Source organism: Homo sapiens, chromosome 1 (assembly GCF_000001405.40).
Source record: "Homo sapiens chromosome 1, GRCh38.p14 Primary Assembly".
NCBI classification, from domain to species: Eukaryota; Metazoa; Chordata; class Mammalia; order Primates; family Hominidae; genus Homo; species Homo sapiens.
Window position 1 is genome coordinate 194,056,547 of NC_000001.11, and position 23,324 is coordinate 194,079,870.

Consider the following 23,324-nt stretch of genomic DNA (forward strand, 5'->3'; position numbering starts at 1 on the left):
AATCTCTGCCTGTGAAGACCTTCAACTTCACCTGGCATTCTAGCGTGTGAGTCTCTGTGTCTAAATTTCCTCTTTTTTGTAAGCACACCAGTCATACTGGATTGGAACACTCAGTGGCCTCATTTTAATTTGATCATGTCTGTAAAGACCCTATTTCCAAATGAGAACACATTCTGAGGTACTAGGAGTTAAAATTCCAGTAGATTTTTTTCTTGGAGGTGGGGGACACAATTCAACCCATAACAACTCCAAAATAATCTCTCTTCCTTGGGATCGTACTATTCATCTGTAACCATTGCCTGTGACTTCCTAGTGCCACCCAAGAGGCACCTCCACCCAATGGCTTTGGGCTTGGCCACACAGTTTACTTTGAACATTGGAAAGGGAAGATGTGGAAGTTCTCAGTGGATGCTTAACAGAGCATGTGTGCCACAGCTCACCCGCTCAAGGGTCTATTGTCTGCTATGAGGACAGCACACCCTCAAGATTTCTTCTCTTCCAATCTGGATTCTGGAATGAAAAGACACGTGGATAGTAGACCTTCTGAAATCTTAGAGCTGATCAAAGCTGAAGTTAAAGTACTGTATACCCATCATATAACAAGATCAAGACATACATTTTCTTATTATAAACCATTGAGATTTGGGAGCTGTTTGTTGCCATGGCAAAAGTGACATAGAGGGCTTTTATTTGTTTTTGGTGACACCTCATCCCTGAGACCTTTCACTTGTTTCACCTGATTCAAGTGATGCATCTCTAGCTTGTTGTTGACAATGAGTTCTTATTGATTTGGTTATATCACTAGTCTCCATTCCAGGTCTGATCACTGCATCAGGCAGTCATCTTTGATGGACAGTGTCAAAGATGACAGGAATATTCCCTGACACTGGCATCCTACTCTTTCTGGCCTACCCTTAGTCCAAGGAAAATGCCCACACATTCTTTGCTAGGACAGACTTTGGAAGTCTTCAAAGCAGCCAGTTCCTTCTTGACTCATCCATGAGCAGGGAGCCAGCCCCGTCCTTGCTCTCCAGGTGTTTTAGGTAAGAATCAGGCACTAGACTACTAGATGTCCCCAAACTTTGTGAAATACATGTTAAATGGGCCAGTGTTTTGCATGTTGTCCACAAGTCTGTGGCAGTCAGGTATGTTGCTCAAATCTTCAGGCTAACCTACTGTGAGGAGCATAGCTGACTGACAGTCCCTTCTGCTGCCTCTTCAATTACAATGTTTGCATCAAGGCTGCACTTACTCTGGTTGCTCTCACGTAATGACTAAGGTACTACTGCTAGTCCATTTCTACCTGATAGGGATTACCTGTAATTAGGGTAGCCAGATAAAATGCAGGATACCAATTAATTTTGACTATAGGTCAACAGTAAGTAATTTTTTTGTGTAAGTATACATACAATATTTGGGGAATCCTTCTACTAAAAATTATTTTTTGTTGATTTCAAAATCAAATTGAACTGGTTATCCTATATAATTATTTTCTAAAACTACCTATAATGACAATGGTTGCTTGAGTGCATCCCACCATCCTTGCTGAAAATTACTAGAAATGCACTAGTGTGAGGCTCTTCTGTCCAACCCTTCTTTACCTCCACTGTTTTACAAATGTCAGACCTGCACGATGGCTTGAATATTTGCTCTGCCAATTCCTGCTTGTTTTCCCTTATCCTTGGCTGGCATTTTCCCCAAAAAAACTCTTGTACCTCTAAGCCCATTGTATTGTTCATTCTCACACTGCCATGAAGACATACCTGAGACTGTGAACTTTATGAAGAAAGGATGAATTGACTTGCAGTTCTGCAGGCTGTAAAGGAAGCATGGCTAGGAGGCCTCAGGAAATGTACAATCATGGTGGAATGTGAAGGGGAAGTAAGCACGACTTACCTTGGTGAAGCAGGAGAGAGAGGGAGAAAAAGAGAAAACAGAAGTGCCACATACTTTTTTTTTTTTTTTTTGAGATGGAGTCTCACTCTGTCGCTCAGGCTGGAGTGCAGTGGCGCAATCTCTGCTCACTTCAAGCTCCTCCTCCCAGATTCACGCCATTCTCCTGCCTCAGCCTCATGAGTAGCTGGGACTACAGGTGCCCGCCACCACACCAGGCTAATTTTTTGTATTTTTTTTTTTTTTTTAGTAGAGATGGGGTTTCACTGTGTTAGCCAGGATGGTCTGAGGTACCACATACTTTTAAACAATCAGATCTCATGAAAGCTCACTCATTGTCACCATAACAGCAAAGAGGAAATCATCCCCATGATTCAGTCACCTCCCACCAGGTCCCTCTCCTGAGACATGGGGATTACAATTTGAGATGAGATTTGGGTGGGGACACAGAGCCAAACCATACCAGTGCACCCCTGGCTTCTTTGAAATCTCATGTCCTTCTCACATTTCAAAACCAACCACGCTTTCCCAACAGTCCCCCAAAGTCTTAACTCATTGCAGCATTAACTTAAAAGTCCAAGTCCAATGTCTCATCTGAGGCAAGGCAAGTCCCTTCTGCCTATGAGCCTGTAAAATCAAAAGCTAGTTAATGACTTCTAAGATACAATGTGGGTACCAGCATTGGGTAAATGCTCCTGTTACAAAAGGGAGAAATTGGTCAAAACCAAGAGGCTACCAGCCCCATGCAAGTCTGAAAATCAGCAGGACAGTCATTAAACCTTAAAGCTTCAAAATAATCTCCTGTGACTCCATGTTTCACATCCAAGTCATGCTGATGCAAGAGGTGGGCTCCCACAGCCTTGGGCAGCCCCACCCCTGTGGCTCTTCAAGGTACAGGTACAGCCCCTGCAGCTGCTTTCATGGGCTGGCATTGAGCATCCATGGCTTTTCCAGGCACGTGGTGCAAGCTGTCAGTGGATCTATAATTCTGAAATCTGGAGGACAGTGGCCTTCTTCTCATAGCTCCACTAGGCAGTGCCCCAGTGGGGACTCTATGTGGGGGCTCCAACCCCACATTTTCCCTTTGCACTGCTCTAGCAGAGGTTCTCCATGAGGGCTTTGCCCCTGCAATAGACATTTGCCTGGACATCCAGGTGTTTTCATACATCCTATGAAATCTCTTGAAGCTCCCAAGCTTCAACTCTTGCCTCCTGTGGAACTTCAGGCTCAATACCACATGGGAGCTGCCAAGGTTTGGGGCTTGGATCCTCTGAAGCCATTGCCTGATCTGTACCTTGGCCCCTGTTAACCACAGCATGAGTTGGAGAGGCTGGGACACAGGGCCTCATGTCCCAAGGCTGCACAAAGCAGCAGGGCCTTGGGCCTAGCACATGAAACCATTTTTCCCTCCTAGAGCTCCAGGCCTGTGATGGGAGGGGCTGCTGTGAAGGTCTCTGAAATGCTCTGGAGACATTTTCCCCATTGTCGTGGATTAACATTCAGCTCCTCTTCACTTATGCAAATTTCTGCAGCAGGCTTAATTTCTTCACCAAAAATGGGGTTTTCTTTTCTACCACATGGCCAGGCTGTAAATTTTCCAAACTTTTATTCTCTGCTTCCCTTTTAAATGTAAGTTCTAATTTCAGATAATCTCTTTGTGAGCATACACTTTTAGAAATAACCAGGTTATCTCTTGAACGCTTTACTGCTTAGAAATGTCTTCCACCAGACACCATAAATCATCTCTCTCAAGTTCAAAGTTCCATAGATCTCTAGGTCAAGGGCAAAAATGCCACCAGGCTCTTTGCTAAAGCATAGCAGTAGCAAACCTACTCCAGTAGCAAGTACTGGAGTAAACCTTTACTCCAGTTTCCAATAAGTTTTTCATCTTCAACTGAGACCACATCATCCTGGAATTCATCACCACTATTAACATTTCGGTCACAACAATTCAACAAGTCCATAGGAAGTTCCAAACTTTCCCACATCTTTCTGTCGTCTTCTGAGCCCTCTAAATTGTTCCAACTTCTGCCTGTTACCCAGTTCCAAACTCAATTACACATTTTCAGGTATCTTTATAACTGTGCCCCACTTTCATGGTACTAATTTTCTGTATTTGTTCACTCTCACACTGCTATAAAGACATACCTGAGACTGGGTAATTTATAAAGAAATGAGGTTTAATTTACTAACAGTTCTGTGGGCTTAACAGGAAGCATGATTCGGAGGCCTCAGGAAATGTACAATCATGGCGAAGGGGAAGAAGGCATATCTTACCATGAAGAAACAGGAGAGAGAAACAGAGAGAGAGAGAGAATGGAGAAATGATCAGAGCTCATTAGAACTCACTCACTATCATGAGAACAGCGAAAGGAAAATCTATCCCCATGATCCAATCACCTCCCACCAGGCCCCTCCCCTGATACGTGGGGTTACAATTTGAGATGAGATTTGGATAGAACACAGAGCCAAATCATATCACCCATCTTGACATCTGCTTCTCAGAGGACATGAACTGACACATAGTCCTTTAGAATCTGATAAAATCCATATCTTTATCACCACTGAAAATTCTATTTTAATTTTGCTATGTGGATATTGTACTAGGTGATTGCTAAAGTCCTTCCAGCTATATTTTATAATTCTAAGTTTCTTCTTAGGTAGAGAGAGATTACGTTTTTAAAAATAACTAAATTTTCCTGTATAAAAATGAAAGTAAGACTTAACTTGTTCAGGACTGATTTCCTGTTACTTTAGGCCTCCTCTAACATGCTATCAAAATTGGCTTTACCAAAATACTCTAAATGATAGTAAAATGAGGTAAGAAATCAGGTCACCTTTCCATTTATCACAAAAGCTGCAACCTACAGACTATACTCCAGCTAGTGCTCCGAACTTTGATTACTAAAATGGTAGAATTGGGTCAGATAACAAGTTTCTGTTTTGTTGGATAGCTGCAGTCTCCTGGCTTGAACCCCAGCCTACCAATAAAGATAGAAGAAGAAACAGGCTCTTCTCCAATCATATAACTAAAAAATCTCCACTACCAATGGCCAGGTTCCTTTCCTAGAATTTATGCCCAGTCCTACTAAATACTAGTTTACTGGGCCATATTGAGGTGGGTGATGGTGTGAAGACACACCTTTTACTTTTTCAGTTTCTGTTCATTTTTTCCAATAAATGCTGTTCAGCGAACAAAATGTGTTCTATATGGCCATTGTCTTTCTGTTATTGAAATAGCTACTATGGCCAAGGCTTTTTTTTTTTTTTTTTTTTTTTTTTTTGAGACTGAATCTCACACTGTCACCTGGCCTGGAGTGCAGTGGCGCAATCTTGGCTCACAGCAACCTCGGCCTCCTGGGTTCATGTGATTCTCCTGCCTCAGCCTCTCGAATAGTAGTGATTAGTGGCACACACCACCACACCCAGCTAATTTTTTGTATTTTTAGTAGAGACAAGGCTTCACTATGTTGGCCAGACTGGTCTCGAACTCCTGACCTCATGATCCGCCTGCCTCAGCCTCCCAAAGTGCTGGGATTACAGGTGTGAGCCACCGTGCCTGACTGGCCAAGCCATTTTTATTGGTGTCCAGCATGGAAGGCTGGTAACAAATCAAGGGACCAGAAATCAGTCTACAAGTGGGAAACGTTTACATGTGGTGGTGTGGTATGGCTGAGATGGCCTGATGCTTCTGTTGTGCTACACAGTTCAGTTAAATGGAAACCATGAAGAAGGGGCACTAAACCCCATAAACCATGTGAACTCCATCATCCCTGACTCTCTAATTAAGGAAATAACCTCAATAAAACCAAGTTAATCAGTGGATCTACCACCTAGGGTTTCCTTATAAAACTATTATTATAATTGTTATTATTTTAGGAAAGAAATGTGATGAAAAGGATATTGTACCCAATCCTACTTAAATCAACTAACCATTTAGTGCATAAGGTAGATAGAATGCTAGGAAAAATATGAGCCATCTGAAGGATGGAGATGAGGAAAGCCCAAAAGTGTGTACCATACATATCAGATTAGGATACCAACACACTTGGTGTGATGGGGTGGCCTATAAGGAGCTGTCTCCTGGGACCCTATTATTGGGCATTGGGAAAGTATAAAAGACACTATTGCTGCCTCACTCAAATCACTTTTACCAGATCAGTGCCTCCAGCCTTCCACTGCTTGGATGTTGGCTATTAACAGCTCATAGTTATATTCTGTTCCTGATAATTGTTCTTGACTAAAGGAAATTACTCACCCAGACATGTCAGAGGAGTAAAGCCTTTCCTCAGAGACAGCTGATAGCCAGTTTTTAATAGATACTGGGTACAAATAGTCACCCCTCTTTCATCAAGTTGAGACAGCTCTCTAGTGTCAGTTATACTCCAGAAAGCCCTGTTCGATCAGGCTAGACTTCAGCTGAGCCCATTTCTTTGCCTAGTTTCTTCCTCAGTTCAATCCTATTACCTGCTCCTGTACTGGATTCAGTTGAGAGCAATCACTCCATAAATCACTTGCTCAAGAATCCTTGTCTCAGGCTCTTCTTTTAGCGAAACTGACTTACGGAAGAAGGGCTTAATGCTCTCAAAGAAGATAAGTAATAATATAGTGAAACAAGGGAGAAGTTCAGTGACTTGCCAAGTCATGCTGTTGTTGGATCCAGCCCATGTTCTCACTAGGATTGAAGTTGCTATTTCCCCAGTCATAAAATGTAAACAAACATTTCCATGTTCAAGGGCCAGAGTTCCTCTCCATGAATGTGATATCTGACAGGCCCTACTAAATTCCTCTATGATCTTTCTGAACCTTGTTGCATAATGAGAAACCACACACCTTATCTTGTTCCTGGTTCTTGGATTTTCCTCTAATACATACTGACCCAGAAAATCTGATGAAAATCATATCTTGTGTTTCTTTGGGCAACAGAAAATAACCCCTATAGTTACTAAGGAAAGGATAAAAAATTGAAAGAAAGTAACTGTGTGACTTCTGTCTTTACATCCAAATTATTTGAGTGGATAGAAAGATTTTGTAGATTAAATTATTCATATTTCAGTCACTCTCAATAACTTGTTCATTTTAATGTAAAATATCTCTCTCTTTTCTTTTTTTTTTTGGCTCTGCACTCTTTTTATTTTTATTTTTTGGATCTGTCTTATCAGTTTTTCACACGTTGCTTGGGAAGTAATATTCAGGTGCTATTATTCTCAGTAAACAAGTGAGAAAATGGAAGTGGAATTTAAATCATGATTTCATGATTTCCCTGGAGTGGAAAGCATGGGTCTAGATATACAAGTATAACTTTAGTTAGAAAAATTGCAAATATAATTTTAGATTGAGCCTCACTAATTAGGATTCGTGGACTCGTGTGTGGTAGATATTTTAATATGCTTTGTCAAAATACTACTTCTCATATTTCTACCAAATAACCCCCAAAACCTCTTAGGATTTAATTAGCTACTGCAGTTTATCAATAAGAAATGAAAGAAGTCAAAGGTAAGTGGAAGACATTTTACAGACCCAGGATTAGAATGAGAGAAGATAGCACCTTGAGATGAGAAGGCGAGAAGCAGCTTGCAGTTTGAAAAAAAATCCAAAGGAAGCTTAACAATGCTTTCCAAGGTATATGTCAGTGTTATACAGGTGCATTAGTCCATTTTCATGCTGTAGATAAAGACATACCCGAGACTGGGCAATTTACAAAATAAAGAGGTTTATTGGACTTACAGTTCCACATGACTGGGGAGGCCTCACAATCATGGCAGAAGGAAAGGAGGAGCAAGTCACATCTTATGTGGATGGCAGCAGGCAAAGAGAGAGCTTGTGCATGGAGACTCTCCTTTTTAAAACCATCAGATCTCATGAGACTTATTCATTATCAGGAGAACAGCACAGGAAAGACCTGTTCCCATGATTCAATTACCTCCCACTGGATCCTTCCCACGACATGTGAGAATTCAAGATGAGATTTGGGTGGGGACACAGTGAAACCATATCAACAGTTTATGGTCATAATATGTTATATAAGTCACTGTCATAATAGTTTATTAAAAGAATCTATAATCCCTTATAGTCTAATAATATTATACTCATCACTGCAAAAGGAAGATGGTATCTTACAGTTATGATGGACCCCATGGCAGGTGGAGATTTTTTCCGCAGATTACACATCCTGGCTTAATCAACAACTAGATTACAGGAAACTGACTATATATCTTTGTGTCAGAAGTTTCCTCTTCTACAATATGGGAATAATGATGGTATAGACTTCAGAGTATTGTCAAATGGAACTAATATAACGAAACTTCAGGCACATAGTAATGGATCAATAAATTATACATGTTTTTATGTTTCTTTTTGCTTTTTATTCCTTTCACTTACTAGTCTTTTAGCTTTTATCAAAATGTTTACACCACACTTGGTTATTTTGAAATATTTTGCCAAAACAATGGTGAATGCTTAGTACTTAACACCATTTTACTTCTTTCCTATCATATTCTCTTCAAATATTAAAAAAAGTTATTCTGGACATCCAGAATACCATATCCTAATCAACAATTTAAACTCCTATAAGGAGGGGAAAGGAAACTAAGATTCTCTGAACAACTATTCTGAGTTATTTCCAAAGTGAAATGACTTTATTTTGTTGTTTTCTAATTATAAACATATCTATGAAAGAGTTTGGCAAATACAAACAAATTTGAAGAAAAAAAGTAAGTCCTCCATAGCCCCACTGATCTATATACCCATTATCAGAGTTTAAAGATTTACTTTAAATTTTTAAAATTAATATTGTCTTAATTATTAGAATAATCTGTTTCATTTTGTTTACTGAATGCATATGCTGTTAAAAATTACTATATAATTAGCAATTCTTTCTCAGCTTGATCTAGCAGTATAATTACCTTATATTTTAGATGTTGCTCCTGTTTTGCTACTCAATTTTTTAGTTAAAGAATTTCACCTATTTATTCTCTTTGTGATTACTGACATATTTAGGCCTATTTCTTTTAGGCTATTTGCTACTATCTATCTGACCTCTCTCTCCCAGCCTTCTCCTCCCCTCCCCTTTCCATCCTTTATTATTCTTTCCTTCTCATACTTTTTCCTCTCTCCTTCTTTTGGGTTAATTAGGTTTCTCTTTTATGTCTTTTTTTTTTTTTTTTACTACTATGACTAGTTGGTATACTTGGTTGGTATACTTGGTTTCTAGTATTTTAAATGTTACCTGAGTGATTTAAATGTGTCTATTTTACTTAACACTGTATAAATTTAATCAATATTTTATCCCCCTCATGAATAATTTTATTCACCAATTCCACTCATCATATAATATTTTGTAGTATTTCTCCTTTAACTTTCCTTTGTCCCCCAAATTAGACATTATTTTTACTGTTATTCATTCAATATTTTAAATATTCATATTTATCATTTACTTTCCTGATCATTTTTTCTTTTATTACAGACTTTGCTTCTGGGGTAATTTTCCTTCTTTACTAAATACATCCTTTATAAGGAGTTCCATTGGTGTGGATCTGTTGGCAGCAATTTCTTGAAGACTCTTCTAAAAATATGCTTATTTAGCTCTTATTTTTGAAAGACAACTTTTCTCAGTGTAGACTCCTAGGTTGATAGTATATTCTATTCTCTTAGTTCATTGAAGATAATATTTCATTATTTTTCAATTTCCAAAAGTTAGTTGTTTGTCTACTTGTTATTCTTTTTCTTAGGAGTAATCTTTTCTTTATGGCTGCATTTAAGTTCTTCCTTTGATTTTTGACCATTTCACTACTGTGTCTACAGGTGTGAAATTTTTAGAGCTTTCTGAATCTAGGAATGCATTTTAAATCATTTTTTGAAAATTTTCAGCCATTATGTATTTCATTTGGGCCTCTTCCCCATACTCTTCTGCTATTTACTCTGAAAATGTAATTAGCCTATATTAGGCCTTTCCAACCTACCCTTGAAGAGTCTTGTCTTTTCACATAGTCCCCTAAGTTTTTTTACTGCATCAGTCTTCCAGCTCACCAACTGTCTCCTAAGTTATGCCCTAACCTTAGGATTAAACAATTATTTTAATTTGTATTTTTAATTTTAATTTTTTCCTTATATAATTTTTGTATCAGTCTGATTAATTTACATAGAAGCTTTTACTTTGTAACACTTCAGCTTATTGTGTTATTTTAAAATCTAATAAGTGTATTATACTTATTTTCAAGCACATTTCTGGTAATTTCAATATCTTCGGTCTGTAGTTTTGTTTCCATAGACCACTTCTTGCTCTTGTCCATGTGAAAATCTTGCTCATGGCAGCCTCTTCTCTACTACTTTTGAAATTAATGTGAGATTGTGGATTCATGCTTCTTGGACCTTAGTTTTTGAGAGTATTTTGAGTCCTGAGTTTAAGGTGAATTTATCCAGGAAGGGTATGGATTTACTTCTGATAGGCTTCCAGAAGTCTTAATGTAAAGAATTAATGTAAAAATTGGTCTTAATATAAGACCAATTTACAAAATATTTGCCTCAAAATTTTACAGCTGATTCATTTTACAGTGAGTAAGATGAATTCTAGTCACAATCCCTGAAATATAAATTTCTTCTTAGGATTTCTCAGGGAGACTTTTATTTCTGATTTTTGCTCTTCAAGTCCAGGCTGAAAAAACAGAGGGTATTCCTGTGCTCTCCCTTCACAGAAGACATACAGAATTGTCTTATGGTTTTCAATCATTATCTGACAGAACCTTCAGATCATGTTGGTTTTATGCAGGTGTCTCTAATTAGACCTCCCAATACATTTGGTACTAAGGCTTTAACTCCTTCACCTCTAATTCCATATATGGTCCCATAAGACCAAGGTTCTAGGAATGCCACAGATCCACTGAATAGAGAAAATGGGGGACAGAAGATTGGATAGCAGGATTTTTTGTTTTTGCTTATTCTTTGCCTGGCTGCAGTTCTAGGAGACCTGCTGCATTCTATGTTAAAAACTCCTTCTGGGTGGCCCTTTTTTCATTATCTTAAGCTATCGTTAGTCTTCTCTAATACCATTACCTGTTTTTGCCCCTTTCGACCCAGAAGTGAAAACACCGTACCACTGTTGTTATTTTCTGGATTCTTCACAGCCCTTTCTGATTCCCCAAACCTGTCCAGGTTTGATAATTAGTACTTCTATTAAATCATCTACCTGTGAGTGTTTCATATATTTTCTGCTATGACCCTGATTATCACATTATTAATGTTCCAATTCTTTTAGTTGAAGGAAGTGAGACTCAGAAAATCTAAGTGTATTTGAAGGAGAGAAATGTGGTGGTTTGAATTGTTTTAATCTGGTTCAGCTGGGATCTATGTTTCCTAGAGTTCTCTTCCCAGAGTGGTTCCAGGTTTGAGTTGGCTGGATGAAAACATTCACGTCACTTGGAAAGCAAAAGTGGAGCAGAGCCTACTGTTCCCTGAAGTTTGTGGTCAGATGTAGTAAGGGACAAATGCAGAGGTACCTGCCCAGTCACGCTTGTCCTTGCTCTCTTCTGTGTCATGCTGCCCTTTTTTCTGACTAATGACTCCTTTGACAAATAGTGGTTACAGGCCTAACACAAGATGCTTTACTGAAAAGTCATAGTATTTGATGGAAAGAGGCAGAAGCTAGCATCTTTAGTGGATAATGCTTGTGATGAAAGTCCATGTGGAACATGAGGTCCAACTATCACAGTCATTCCAATTATTTTAGCTGAGGCCAGAGACCTGTCACCTCCAGTCCCAGTCAAGGCCTTCAAATGACTGCAGCCATATGAGTGTCTCCAGGCAAGAACAACAGAGGAAACACATTCTCAAATCTTGAGAAATAATGCATTATTGTTGTTTTAAGCCACTAAGTTTGGGGATTTTTTAAAATGCAGCACATAGAAATGAATACACATAAGTAGAGCATTGCAATAGTAATAATTTTGAAAAGCTTAAAATATATGACATTACCTTTGGAAAATGACGATAGGAAGAATCTACAAGGGAGTCAAAAAAGCTTCTACTGGAGACTAATAAAGCCCTGAGAAAAGCCATCAGAAGCTCGAGAAAAGGAAATCTTTTCTCCAGCAGAAAATTTGGCAAATGTTGGCAGAAAAATTGGCAAAATATTGCCTGTGGCAACTTGGAAGATAGAAGCTGGTAAGAACTGTTGGATCTGTCTAAGGAAGCTTTCGGGGAGAGCGTTGACAATGCCAATTGGCTTCTTTTAGTGTCATCTGGTCAGATATGGGAAGAAAGAGATAATCTAAAAATAGAATTGTACTGTTTTCAAACAGAGCTTTGAGGAAATAATGAGGACCAATTTTTTTTTGTTTGGAAAAATAAATCATCTCCTTAGTCTCCTCAGTCAGCATAACTTGATTAAAGTGAGACCTAGTGCTACAATTGAAATAAAGGTATATCTATAATACCTTTTGTTAAGACTTTGAAAAATGTGAAATGGTGTCAAGTAAACACTCTTATCTAGAGCAAAAGCATTCTAAAAATCACAGGAGTGTTTTCAAAATGCCCTCACATGCCCCGAAATAACATTGGATAGAACTCCAAGTAGGTAACAGGGCTAATCCCAAGTGGCACTAATATAAGAGCTACTAGATTTCCATCACGACTTTTAGTGTGGTTTGTTATGAAATACTAGGTAACTAATGCAAGCTACTCTTCATAATTATGTGTAACTGGAAGTGGGATTTAATCCTCATTCAATAGTCTTTTAGAATAATAAAATTAATGTGACCCCTAAACTCAATTTTAGAACTACAAACAGATATTTTTAGAGTAAGTCTTCTTGGGAAAATCCCACTCTCCAAAGGGCTTACAATGTCAGTGCTGGTCACTTTTCTTCAGTATTGTAACATGAATCACTTTTGAGAGAATGAGATTCACAGCCACTATCAGAAGCCAGGGACCTGGTATAAGTGAGTATGCTACCCATGCTACTTCCAAATCTGGAAGAGGCATTTTCTAATTCAAACAGTAAACTCAAATTTTCCACCTTTAGATAGCAGCATCATCTCCATCTAACACCAAGCCGCTGGCCCTGCCTGACTGCTGGGTGTTAGATTTAGGCAAGTCTCCTCTAACTCTGCCCGGAATCAAGGTCATCTTGCTCCCTGAGGGGCTACCGCATGGTGCAGGCTGCGTGTAGGCTTGGAGTCACACGTGACTGGCAGGCTGCCATCTTGGAAACCCTCCCCACTCAGTGCTGCCAATCTCCATGTTAGTGCTGCCAAGGTGCTGAAACTGATGGTTTCTGTTGAAGAAAGACAGTCACCCTGTTTTACGTCAACCCTGACCACAGCTGCAGTGATGACATTCCTGGTTTAATAGTGGTTCCTCATGGGGCGCAAGGGTAAAAAAAAAAAAAAGTGAAGAGAAAAACTTCCTTCTTAAACTTACTAATTGTTGCCTTCCACCAAGCCATGCTAATTAGAATGTACGTATAAAAATTGTTTGCCCTCACAAACACAACTGTTGTTTATGAAGCAGATCTGGAGTAACAAAGTAGCTTAAAGCAAGAGAGATGCCCAGCATCTGCAAGAGACTCTTTCCTGAACCAGCCCCACTCTAACTAGCACTGGCCATATCTAGGTTTCTCTTGCCATATGGTGAGTACCTGCCTAGGGGCCCTGAGTATCTAGTTCAACTGCTGAACATAGGTTGTGCCATTTCAACCTAACATATTATAATCTAATACTATTGAACCCTAAAAGGGGCAAAATTGGAGTTTCTTTTCTTTTTCTCAAATGACACATTGGTGTATGTGAAAATGTACTCTTCCCAAACAATGCTTGTGTTCCACATCTAAGGAGGGTAAAAATAATGTGGTCAGTGGAAAGGAAACAAAAAGTGGCAAAAAAATTATTTCTAGCAGATGAGCTATCAGTCTCAAAATTGATTCATTATTTCACAACACCTGGAGTGACTGTCAAGTCTCCCTTAAGTGTTTTATGCTCTTTATGGGCTTAAGATTTTCTTTCTATGTCTAAAGTATGAGAAAAAGAGATACTTAAAGGATATTTTAAAGGCGGAAAAGAAGCCGTAAGGATTTTCTTTCATAAAATCTGGAGAGGACTACTCTGTTTCTGAACTGTCAATCTAACATCTACTAAAACATTTTGGCATCCATTTCCCTCGGAGTTGTCAAATGTGTCATTGATGATAGTTTTGCATCATAGAAGGGAAAGGGGATATTAAGAGCTTAATTCTCAACATTTGTCAGTTAGTGGTGTCACCGATGGCTTAAGGAAGAGGAAGTCTAATTTCTGGGAACGTGTCACCTGAGGTCTTGCAGGGTGACGGAGTGTGTGAAGAGGGAAAGGGAATGGGTATTTATTGAAGGTTTATTATGCGTTTACTGCTTCCATATTTCAAATTCTCCCCAAGTCTATGATAACAAACTTGTCTTCCAGTTTCACAAGAGAGAACTGTCGCCCAAAACGGTCAAGTAAATTTCCAGAGGTCCCATACCCCTTAGAGTACCCTGGGATGGGGGTTCAGGATGAGCTAACTCTAGAGGCTATGCTCTCCTCACTGAATCATATTACTTAGTACATGTGTGGAGACATGTGTATAATGAGAGGACATGAATATGCTATTTCTCTTCATAAAGCCATAGGTAAATAACAAGCATGGTAATCAAGATTATAAGAAAATGAATAGGTGGCCCAAATCCCTAAATGAAGATATTATGTGTTATAAAATATTAAATATTATAATAGTTTAAGCTATTATGAGGAGTACTGCTGCTGCCAGCAAGACTATCATTTTATCCCCAACAGGAAATTATTTTTAAAAATGTGATGTGTTTATTTTAAAGCCCCTGGGCATATGTACAAGAACACAAACAACATTTACATATCTATTATCTATAAACTGACACTGCATTTGCCAGGCATTTGACACAATTAAGCAAATGCTTGACTGAACAGATGGGTCTTATAAGGATCCCTAAGGGCATGTCTACATTAACTATGCCAAGGGGGGCTAATGCACCCATTTGGCATCTGCATGCATTTTCCCATCAGCAAATACACTACTGCTTTGCATGGTTGCAAATGGGTCCATTTTTGTCCCAGAGGACAAAACATAAATGGATTGAGCTATTTCTGGTTTGTTCTACCTTTGTCTTTTTTTCTTTTGAAATGTATTCCTAACAATAGATTACATCCTGTAATTGTTTCTTGTTTTCATTTTCTTCAAAATGGCCCATGCCTTTATTTGTTTTACTAGTGGCATTAGGGAAATAGAACACTTTTCTTAGGCAAGACACACAGCGTTTGGATTTTATGTCTTAGTTTGTATAGCTTCTAATGGCAGGTTATAATAGCTAGAAGAGGGGAAAAGAAAACCAACTTATCTCTTAATAGTGTTAAAAAAGAATTTAACATTATAATACCTGACAAGAAAACTATGTGTCTTTCATCGACTATTTTATAGTGTCTGAAATGAAGAGACAGTTCCTTCATGTGACATCCTATATACTTGTCAGTATTATAGACTCTGTTTACTCTCTGTTGGCTATACATACAAGTCTCTTGGAAATGACCATTTAACATGTCAATTAAACTTTTCTTGCCTCGACCGAGTCTTCAGGACTTCCTTCAAAATTTCTCCTAAAAGGAGTATAGTTCAGGAATTGGTCTGGGGATAACCGATGCTTTAGCAGTCTGTCCATCACAGAGAAAGAGCTGCAATGGGAAACAAAATGTGGGTGGTGTTAAGTGTAAGAGTTAATAATATGCAACACAGCAATGACTGTATTCTTTGAATTTTGCATTGGTCTATAGCTATGTCAACAATGCTTGGCAAAATGGGTTCTGTGCCATCCTTTATAGCTAATGGAGATTAGCACTAAAAGGAAAGCAACCATGAAAGTACATTGCATGATGCAGGTCATTATGTAGGCGTATAAAATTTTAACAAAATGAATAGCTCAACATCATTTCAGCTTTGTAAGGCAGCAAATATATCCAATGAATGAAATTATTTAATAGTCTTGTTAAATCAGGCATTAGGAATGGAAATTAATTTACTTCTATTCTCTCTTCAAAAAAGACTCTTTTAGCAGTGTTTCGTCAAAATACATATTTGATTTGTTGAGTGGGAGATAATCATATACTAGGCAAATCCCCTCTTATAACTTTTCTTTCCAAAGCCCATGCTTTTGTTTCTTCTGGTTACTAGAAAGAAAAAAAGAAAGAAGAAAAAGAAAGATTAAATCCTTTGAGGGTACTAATGTGTAAATATGAACCTGAGGATTTTAGGTTGATATTTGACTTCACTGACTGCACTGCCTACATTCTTAGTTGTCAGTACAGTGAAAAAAATGTATTTCATGGGCACATTTTAAATTTTTGTTAGTGTGTTACCATGTGAAAGAGGGGCAAGATTAATCCAGAATTATTTCATTATTTCTACTTATTGTCCACATTATATTTCCTATTTTGTGAAGATTTTAGGTTAAGGACTTGGCATTGCTGATTCTAGAGTAAAAAGAGATCTTCAAGTTTTCCTACTACAGCACAACAGTTTGAGAAGTCAGAGGCTTCTACAGTTTGTAACTCAGTCAGTTAAATTGCTAGATATTTGTAGTCCTCAATTTAAAACTGACTGTATTAAAACATAGTATGTTTTTCTTTGCCTAGTATAATGCCACTCTGAGTCCCAGATGAACTTGGATTTTAAATATTTTTTAAATTAGTTAATACATAAAACATAATATATTTAATAAAATACGTATCATATACTCACATAAACATCCAATTTGACAACTAGAACTTGAGCAGTACAGTTAAATATTATACACCTCCCCATACATTAATTAAAATATTGTATGAATTAAAGCATGTATCATCTCTCTAGAAGTTGTTACCAATTTCATGTCTATTCTTCCAGGCTCCCCCCATCTGTGTGTGTGTGTGTGTGTGTGTCTGTGTGTCTGTGTGTATGTGTCCTTGATATTTCACATATAGTGTCATACAGTAAAGGGCATTTTGATTTTTTCTTAACCATATGTCACAGATATAATATCCTCTGTCTCTCTCTGTCTCTCTCTCTCTCACACACACACAGACACATATATGCACATACTTATATTTATTTATTTTGAAATAAATGTTGTACTGCTCATTCTTGTCTATATTTCTTTGTCCATGTGTGCCAACTATTTTTATAAGATATATTTGTAGAAAGGATGTAAGGCTGGCACTACATTAGGTTGCATCACTTTCAAGTTATTTGGCCTGGAGCAGGCCTATATGAACTATTCTTGAAGACTAAATGAAATTCATATTCTCTTGGTTTATCCTGACACAGGTAGTAAAAAATGATTATTGTTCTGCTAAGTTCAGTGTAGTTTATTAAAATTTGAAGTCTATTCACAAAATAATGAAAATCAAGCTAACATCTCTTTTTAAAAAATCTCACTTGATTGCTGTAGGCTGATTCTGGAACTCCATGAAAATTAATCCATGGAGTTTCAGTAGCTAGTCCAGGCAGAGCTGTCAATGCAAATGTCCAGAACAAGCCGGCAACCGTGGCCCTAAAGACTACCCAGAGACACAGCCTTTCTGTTATCTGACCTTCCTTCTGCCCTGAAAATACATCAGTGTCAGTCATGGCCCTGGAGGTAAAGACAGAGCATCCTTGAACTTAATCTAGCAAATCACATCCAACAGAATGTCGACTTGCCTTGCAGGGATCATATTGACTGAAAATTTGCATTTGCTGTCTTCTGATGTTTCTCCTTTTCCATGTCTTCTAATTTATACAATTCTGTATTTCATGTTTAATGAGCTCTTGGCAGAGATGCTATAATACGAAGTCACAAACATCAATTTCTCTCAGTGGTTATATTATTATAAATTAGTAATATGACACTGTACCTGAACTAGATTTATTTTTATTGACTTGTTTTCTTGTTCCGTGGGTAACATGGACAAATATATGATGCAAAGCACCAAATTGGCTGCAGCACATTCTCTCCTGTTATCTGTTTTACCAGACAGGCTCAACCACAGTTTATACCACCTATTGGAATTATCACAAAAAAAAACTAAGCAGTTTATTTTTCTTAAGGCAAAGTGTTGATTATGAGAATCATCAGCATATACAGCCTAGTAAGGAGTACCCATCATTGTTCGTCATGGATGGACAGACTGCGGTTGGTCATATATAAATCTTAGAAGTGGGTTTGGCAAGTTTAGATCAGTGTCTCAAAGAAATCCAGACCTGGCCCTGTAAAATTAAACTATGAGCAGAGTTTCTCTGGCAGTCAGCCACAGGACTGCTTTTTTAAAAATTTTTTATCTTCTACACACACATGCACACATGAGAGAGAAAGAGAGAGAGAGAGAGAGAGAGAGAGAGAGAAGAGTGCATTTTACTTAAGGATTCATGAAAATATTCTTGATTGATCTTTAGGATAGTTGTACTCTGAATCTGGCCTTAAAAATAGTTCCTACATCTACTTTAATTCTGATAAAACTTTTACTTTTCCCAAGGCTAGTTTTAGGGGAAAATCACTATGTTGTGGAAACTGCAAAAATTGCTTCTTTTAATGCCCAAGTTCGTGATAAAAATAAATGTCCTCTTGAATGGAGTCTGCAGCTTTATTTGCAGGTTATATTTTGGAGACATTTTATGCTTCTGTACTGGTTAAGTTCTATAGAACCAGAGGAGTTGTATAGAGTGAAGATGCTTAGATTTCTCTCTCTTAAGAATTTGGAAGCCGCTGACAGAAGGCAAGAATTTTGTCTTATGTAGCTGTCTGCATCTCGATGAAAGATACATCTTACCTTCTTTCACAAAGTGAGAAATTGTAGATTTTTCAAGAGAATGGCATAAAAACTACCATAGCTATCTAATTTTAAAATTGTCAATTTAGTCCTGTTTTCATAAATCACAATTTGACCTTTTTAGTTTATAAACACATAGCAAATTACATGAAATAAGAAAATAAAATTGTTTCATTTGTTATCTAACTTTTCTTAGATTAGGAGGAAGAAACAGGATTATGGAGACCTGAATAAAGTCTACTTATTCTTAGATTAAATCTTAATTTTCTGTGTGAATCTGGGCAGTCACAGATTCTCTCTATAGACATTCTTTCTCCCTCCTTGAAAGTTTAAGCCAAATACTCAGTAAGAAATTTCATTCAAATAAAGCAGCAGGTGGAAGATTTGGAGCATAGTTAAAAGTAGTATAAGGAGATATAATTTATTATATTTTCAAAATGATAGTTTCTAATCTGCAATTCATTTCTAGTCTTTTTTTTTTTTTTTTTTTTTTTTTTTTTTTTTTTACAATTGTCTATACTTGAGCCTTTTGGAAAACTGATCTATATCCTTTTAAAGGGTTGATGATTTCTACCTGAATGTGTGATATTTGAAAGACCACTAAATTTAATGTGTTTTAACATCACCTTCCAAAAACAGTTACGTTACTTTGTCCTGTTAAGTTTTTAATGTCTATATTTAATAATAATATCCCGAATGTCAACATGAGGTTTCTAGAGCAGAGCAAGTTACTATTTACTTAGAGCACATTATAACTGCACCAACTTACTCCCCTTTACCCAAATTCTTATTCTGGAGTGGTGATACTGACATAGGAGGAGGGACTCGACTCTGGAGGTGGGGCTCAGACACTGAAACAAATTGAGGACTAACTAAAACAGGGTGAGGGCAGAAGCAACTTTCTATAAGAAATACCCTCCAGTGTGCCACAACAGCTTACCATTGCCACGGCAACACCCAGGAGTTATGACCCCTTTTCATGACAATCACCTGACAACACAAAAGTTACTACCCCTTCCCTAGAAATTTCTGCATAAACCACCCATTAATCTGCATGTAATTAAAAGCAGGTATAAATATGACTGCAAAACTGCCCTGAGCTGAAACTCTCTGCCTATGGGGTAGCCCTGCTCTGCTGGAGCAGTCACAGAGCTGTAACCCTGCCAGAGCTGTAACACTGTCTCTTCAACAAAGCTGTTTTCTTCTACTTCCAGCTTGCCCTTGAATTCTTTCCTGGGTAAAGCCAGGAACCCTTATGGGCTAAGCCCCACTTTGGAGCTTGCCTGCCCTACATTAGTATGTTGAGAACCAGATGTGATCCCCGACACAGTGGGGTCTGTTCAAGGTGAGGAGCCAACAGAATAAAAGTGGGCAGAAATGAGAGGCAGCTGTGCCTCCTTCTCACCCATATTTTTTCTGAGAGAGAGATACATGGAGACATAATGAGAAGGATTTTGGTTCTTCACTCAGAAAAGTGAATAAACTTCTTCAGTAGGAGAAAATGACTAGTGTCTTTAGCTTTACAGTCCAACAATTGTCTTCACGGTCCCAGGACTTATCTTCCTTGAAATGTAAACATAGTCCCCCAGGGGGTAAATCTCTCTGTAGTGCTCACTATCCAGTCATAAGTTCCAGGCTTATGTTTTTTTTTTGTTTTTTTTTTTTTTTTTTTTGGCACAGGTCCCAAGTTTCAGTAAAACTTCCTTAGAAATCTCTAACAATTCAGAAACATAAAAAATAGTTTTCTCTACAGCATTGCATCTTCTAGGTGTTCATTTTTTGTATCTGTTTGTCTAGCATATTTTGGAAGAGTTTTTAAAGCTCTTTTCACTCATATAGCAGTATGACAGATCAGACATCATAGTGGACATGGCTATCAAATGTGTTGAATAATTGCATAATTAGCTAAAATCAAGGGGTTGAACAATAATGCTCATAGGGTATTGGTTGATGGCAAGAGACCATCAAGTGTCAGCACTTGGTCCTAGCTACTTCAGCATTTTCATCACTGAATTAAGCAAACGGTTTTTGTCTGCATAATCATCTTGAGAGTGACTGGTTTGAAAAGTGGCAGAAGAAGAACGGCCTGAGCTATCATTTCAGACCACAGTCCCAGCCTGAGAGATCATTTTGAATAATAGTGTGGACATTTACTTTTAAGAACTATCTACTATCATCACATATCATGGGTAAGAAAAGGAGACAAATTAAATGCTGTGAGAAATTAACATTTGTTCTATTGGCATGTTTTCCACAGTGAGGCCAATGACTGACCAGAATGTAAGTTCCGTAAGGATGGAACTATTCCCTTTTAAATGATTTATTCTCATTGCCCACCAAGAATACTTTGTGCGTAGTAGGCTACTAATAAATATATATTACATGAACGAGTAAATAAATAAACAGTAAAAGAAGAAACTCAGGCAAAGTGACAAAGACTCTAGTATTGTTTGAAGGATGCTGGTGCTTTGACATTACTATTTTTATTATTGTTTGTATTTAACAGTTTTGACTTTTCTTATTACAATTGTTTCCTTCTTTTTTTATATATATATATTCTCAATATCCTTTTAATCTCTATATTGCTCCTCCTCTTACTTTAATGAATTACAATTACTGAACTCAATTCTTAAAATATGATGTACCCAGTAATGAGATTGCTGGGTCAAATGGTATTTCTGGTTCTAGTTCCTTGAGGAATCACCATACTGTCTTCCACAATGGCTGAACTAATTTGCACTCCCACTAACAGTGTAAAAGTGTTCCTATTTCTCCACATCCCCTCTAGCTTACCCAAAAGAATATAAATCATTCTACTATAAAGACACATGGACACGTATGTTTATTGCAGCACTGTTCACAATAGCAAAGATTTTGGAGCCAACCCAAATGCCCATCAATGATAGACTGGATGAAGAAAATGTGGCACATATACACCATGCAATACTATGCAGTCTTAAAAAGGATGAGTTCATGTCCTTTGCAGGGGCATGGATGAAGCTGGAAACCATCATTCTCAGCAAACTAACACAGGAACAGAAAACCAAACATCACATGTTCTCAGTCATAAGTGGGAGTTGAAGAAGAAGAGCACACAGACACCGGGAGGGGAATATCACACACCAGGGCCTGTCGAGGGGTGGGGGGGCTAGGGGAGGGTTAGAATTAGGAGAAATACCTAATGTAGATGAAGGGTTGATGGGCGCAGCAAACCACCATGGCATGTGTATACCTATGTAACAAACCTGCATGTTCTGCACATGTATCCCAGAACTTAATGTATATATATCAGGCTAATTGTAACTACAAAAAAAAAAAAAAATGATGTAGTCAAAGGCTTGGTTTTTGGCACTCTTCTCTCTCTTTACCTTTTCCCTGTATTATGTCATCCTAATCCCTGGGTTTATTTGTTTATTTTTTTTGTAAAATATTTTATTTTATTATTTATATTCTAATATTTTTACTTATATACATTTATTGGGTACATGTGTCTTTTTGTTACATGCATAGAAGGCAGAATGGTGAAGTCTGGCTTTACCCACCCACATATTTTAAAAACTGTATCCACATACTTTAAAAACTCTAGCCTTAGCATTGACATTCTTGCAAGTTGGTCCTTAGTCCTTTGTACTCAGACTGTGAAATGCTGAATTTACCATCTTTCTTGCCCAGTATACTCCTTGTCTTATATTTCTTCTTTTGTGACTGTAACCAATCTCTACCTCACCGCACAGGCCCAAAACAATTTCACTTCCATATTCTTCTTTCTCTTAGAGTCTATTTTTCAAAATCACTCATCCCCTACTTTCCATTGCCCCAGCACTTTTTTATTTCAGATCCATATAATTGAACTATTTTGTCTAGTTTTTCCTACCTTTCTTCTCCACACTTCTGCTAAAGGGATCCTTCTAAAACCCAAGTATAATGACACATATCTAATTAAAGTTTGAATTATTAAATTTAATTAATAAACTTAGCTTTCAAGATATTACTCAGATCTTCATACTCTGAACTACATCTTCTTTGAAGTCCTCAGATGTTACTCTCCTTACACATTCTTTGTGTCTGTCAGTAATTCATGTATTCAATTATTAGGTAATCAAACATTCTTTTTTCTCATTAAGCAACATTTAAATGAGAACCTAGTATGATCCAGTGAATTTAGCCGGGAGATGGGGTTACAGCATGGAACAAAACAATCAGTCTGTTTCTTCAAGGAGTTTGCAATTTATTGAGGAAGATTATAGATAAATAAGACAAATAATTAGAAATGTAATAAGGGACATAAAGAAGAATTATAGAGTACCTATAATAGGAGTCCTTGATAAAGTCTATGAAGTAAGGCATACTTTCCCTGTAGAAATAAAGTGTATTCTAAGCCATTAGTAACTAGGAAAAGTGAACTAGGTATGGAGGGGAAACATCATTCTAAGATCTCTCTCACATCTAAGAGATGGTGAGAAGAGTGTGAGGCAGGAAGAAATTATGGTGCTTCCACAGAGGGGAGAAAAGGGAAAAGTGGCAACTGGCCATCCATGTCATACTCTACTGTATCTCCCTTTCCTCATTTTTTTGTGTGTACTTCATCTTTCGATACTTATTCAAAATGCCACCACC

The 23,324-nt window shown here is 37.7% G+C and overlaps 1 long non-coding RNA gene across 1 annotated transcript in view, besides 1 other annotated feature; it reads left to right on the forward strand.

The window, feature by feature from the left end:
- Positions 1-23,324, forward strand: part of LOC124904475 (uncharacterized) — a 765,263-nt gene that overhangs the window by 602,262 nt on the left and 139,677 nt on the right. The gene's annotated exons all lie outside the window — the stretch shown is intronic.
- Positions 20,200-20,400: a silencer, noted in NCBI's record as "peak609 fragment used in MPRA reporter construct". NCBI's record gives its function as "represses an SCP1 promoter by STARR-seq MPRAs in K562 erythroleukemia cells {active_cell/tissue: K562}" and the evidence as "EXISTENCE:reporter gene assay evidence [ECO:0000049][PMID:32103011]".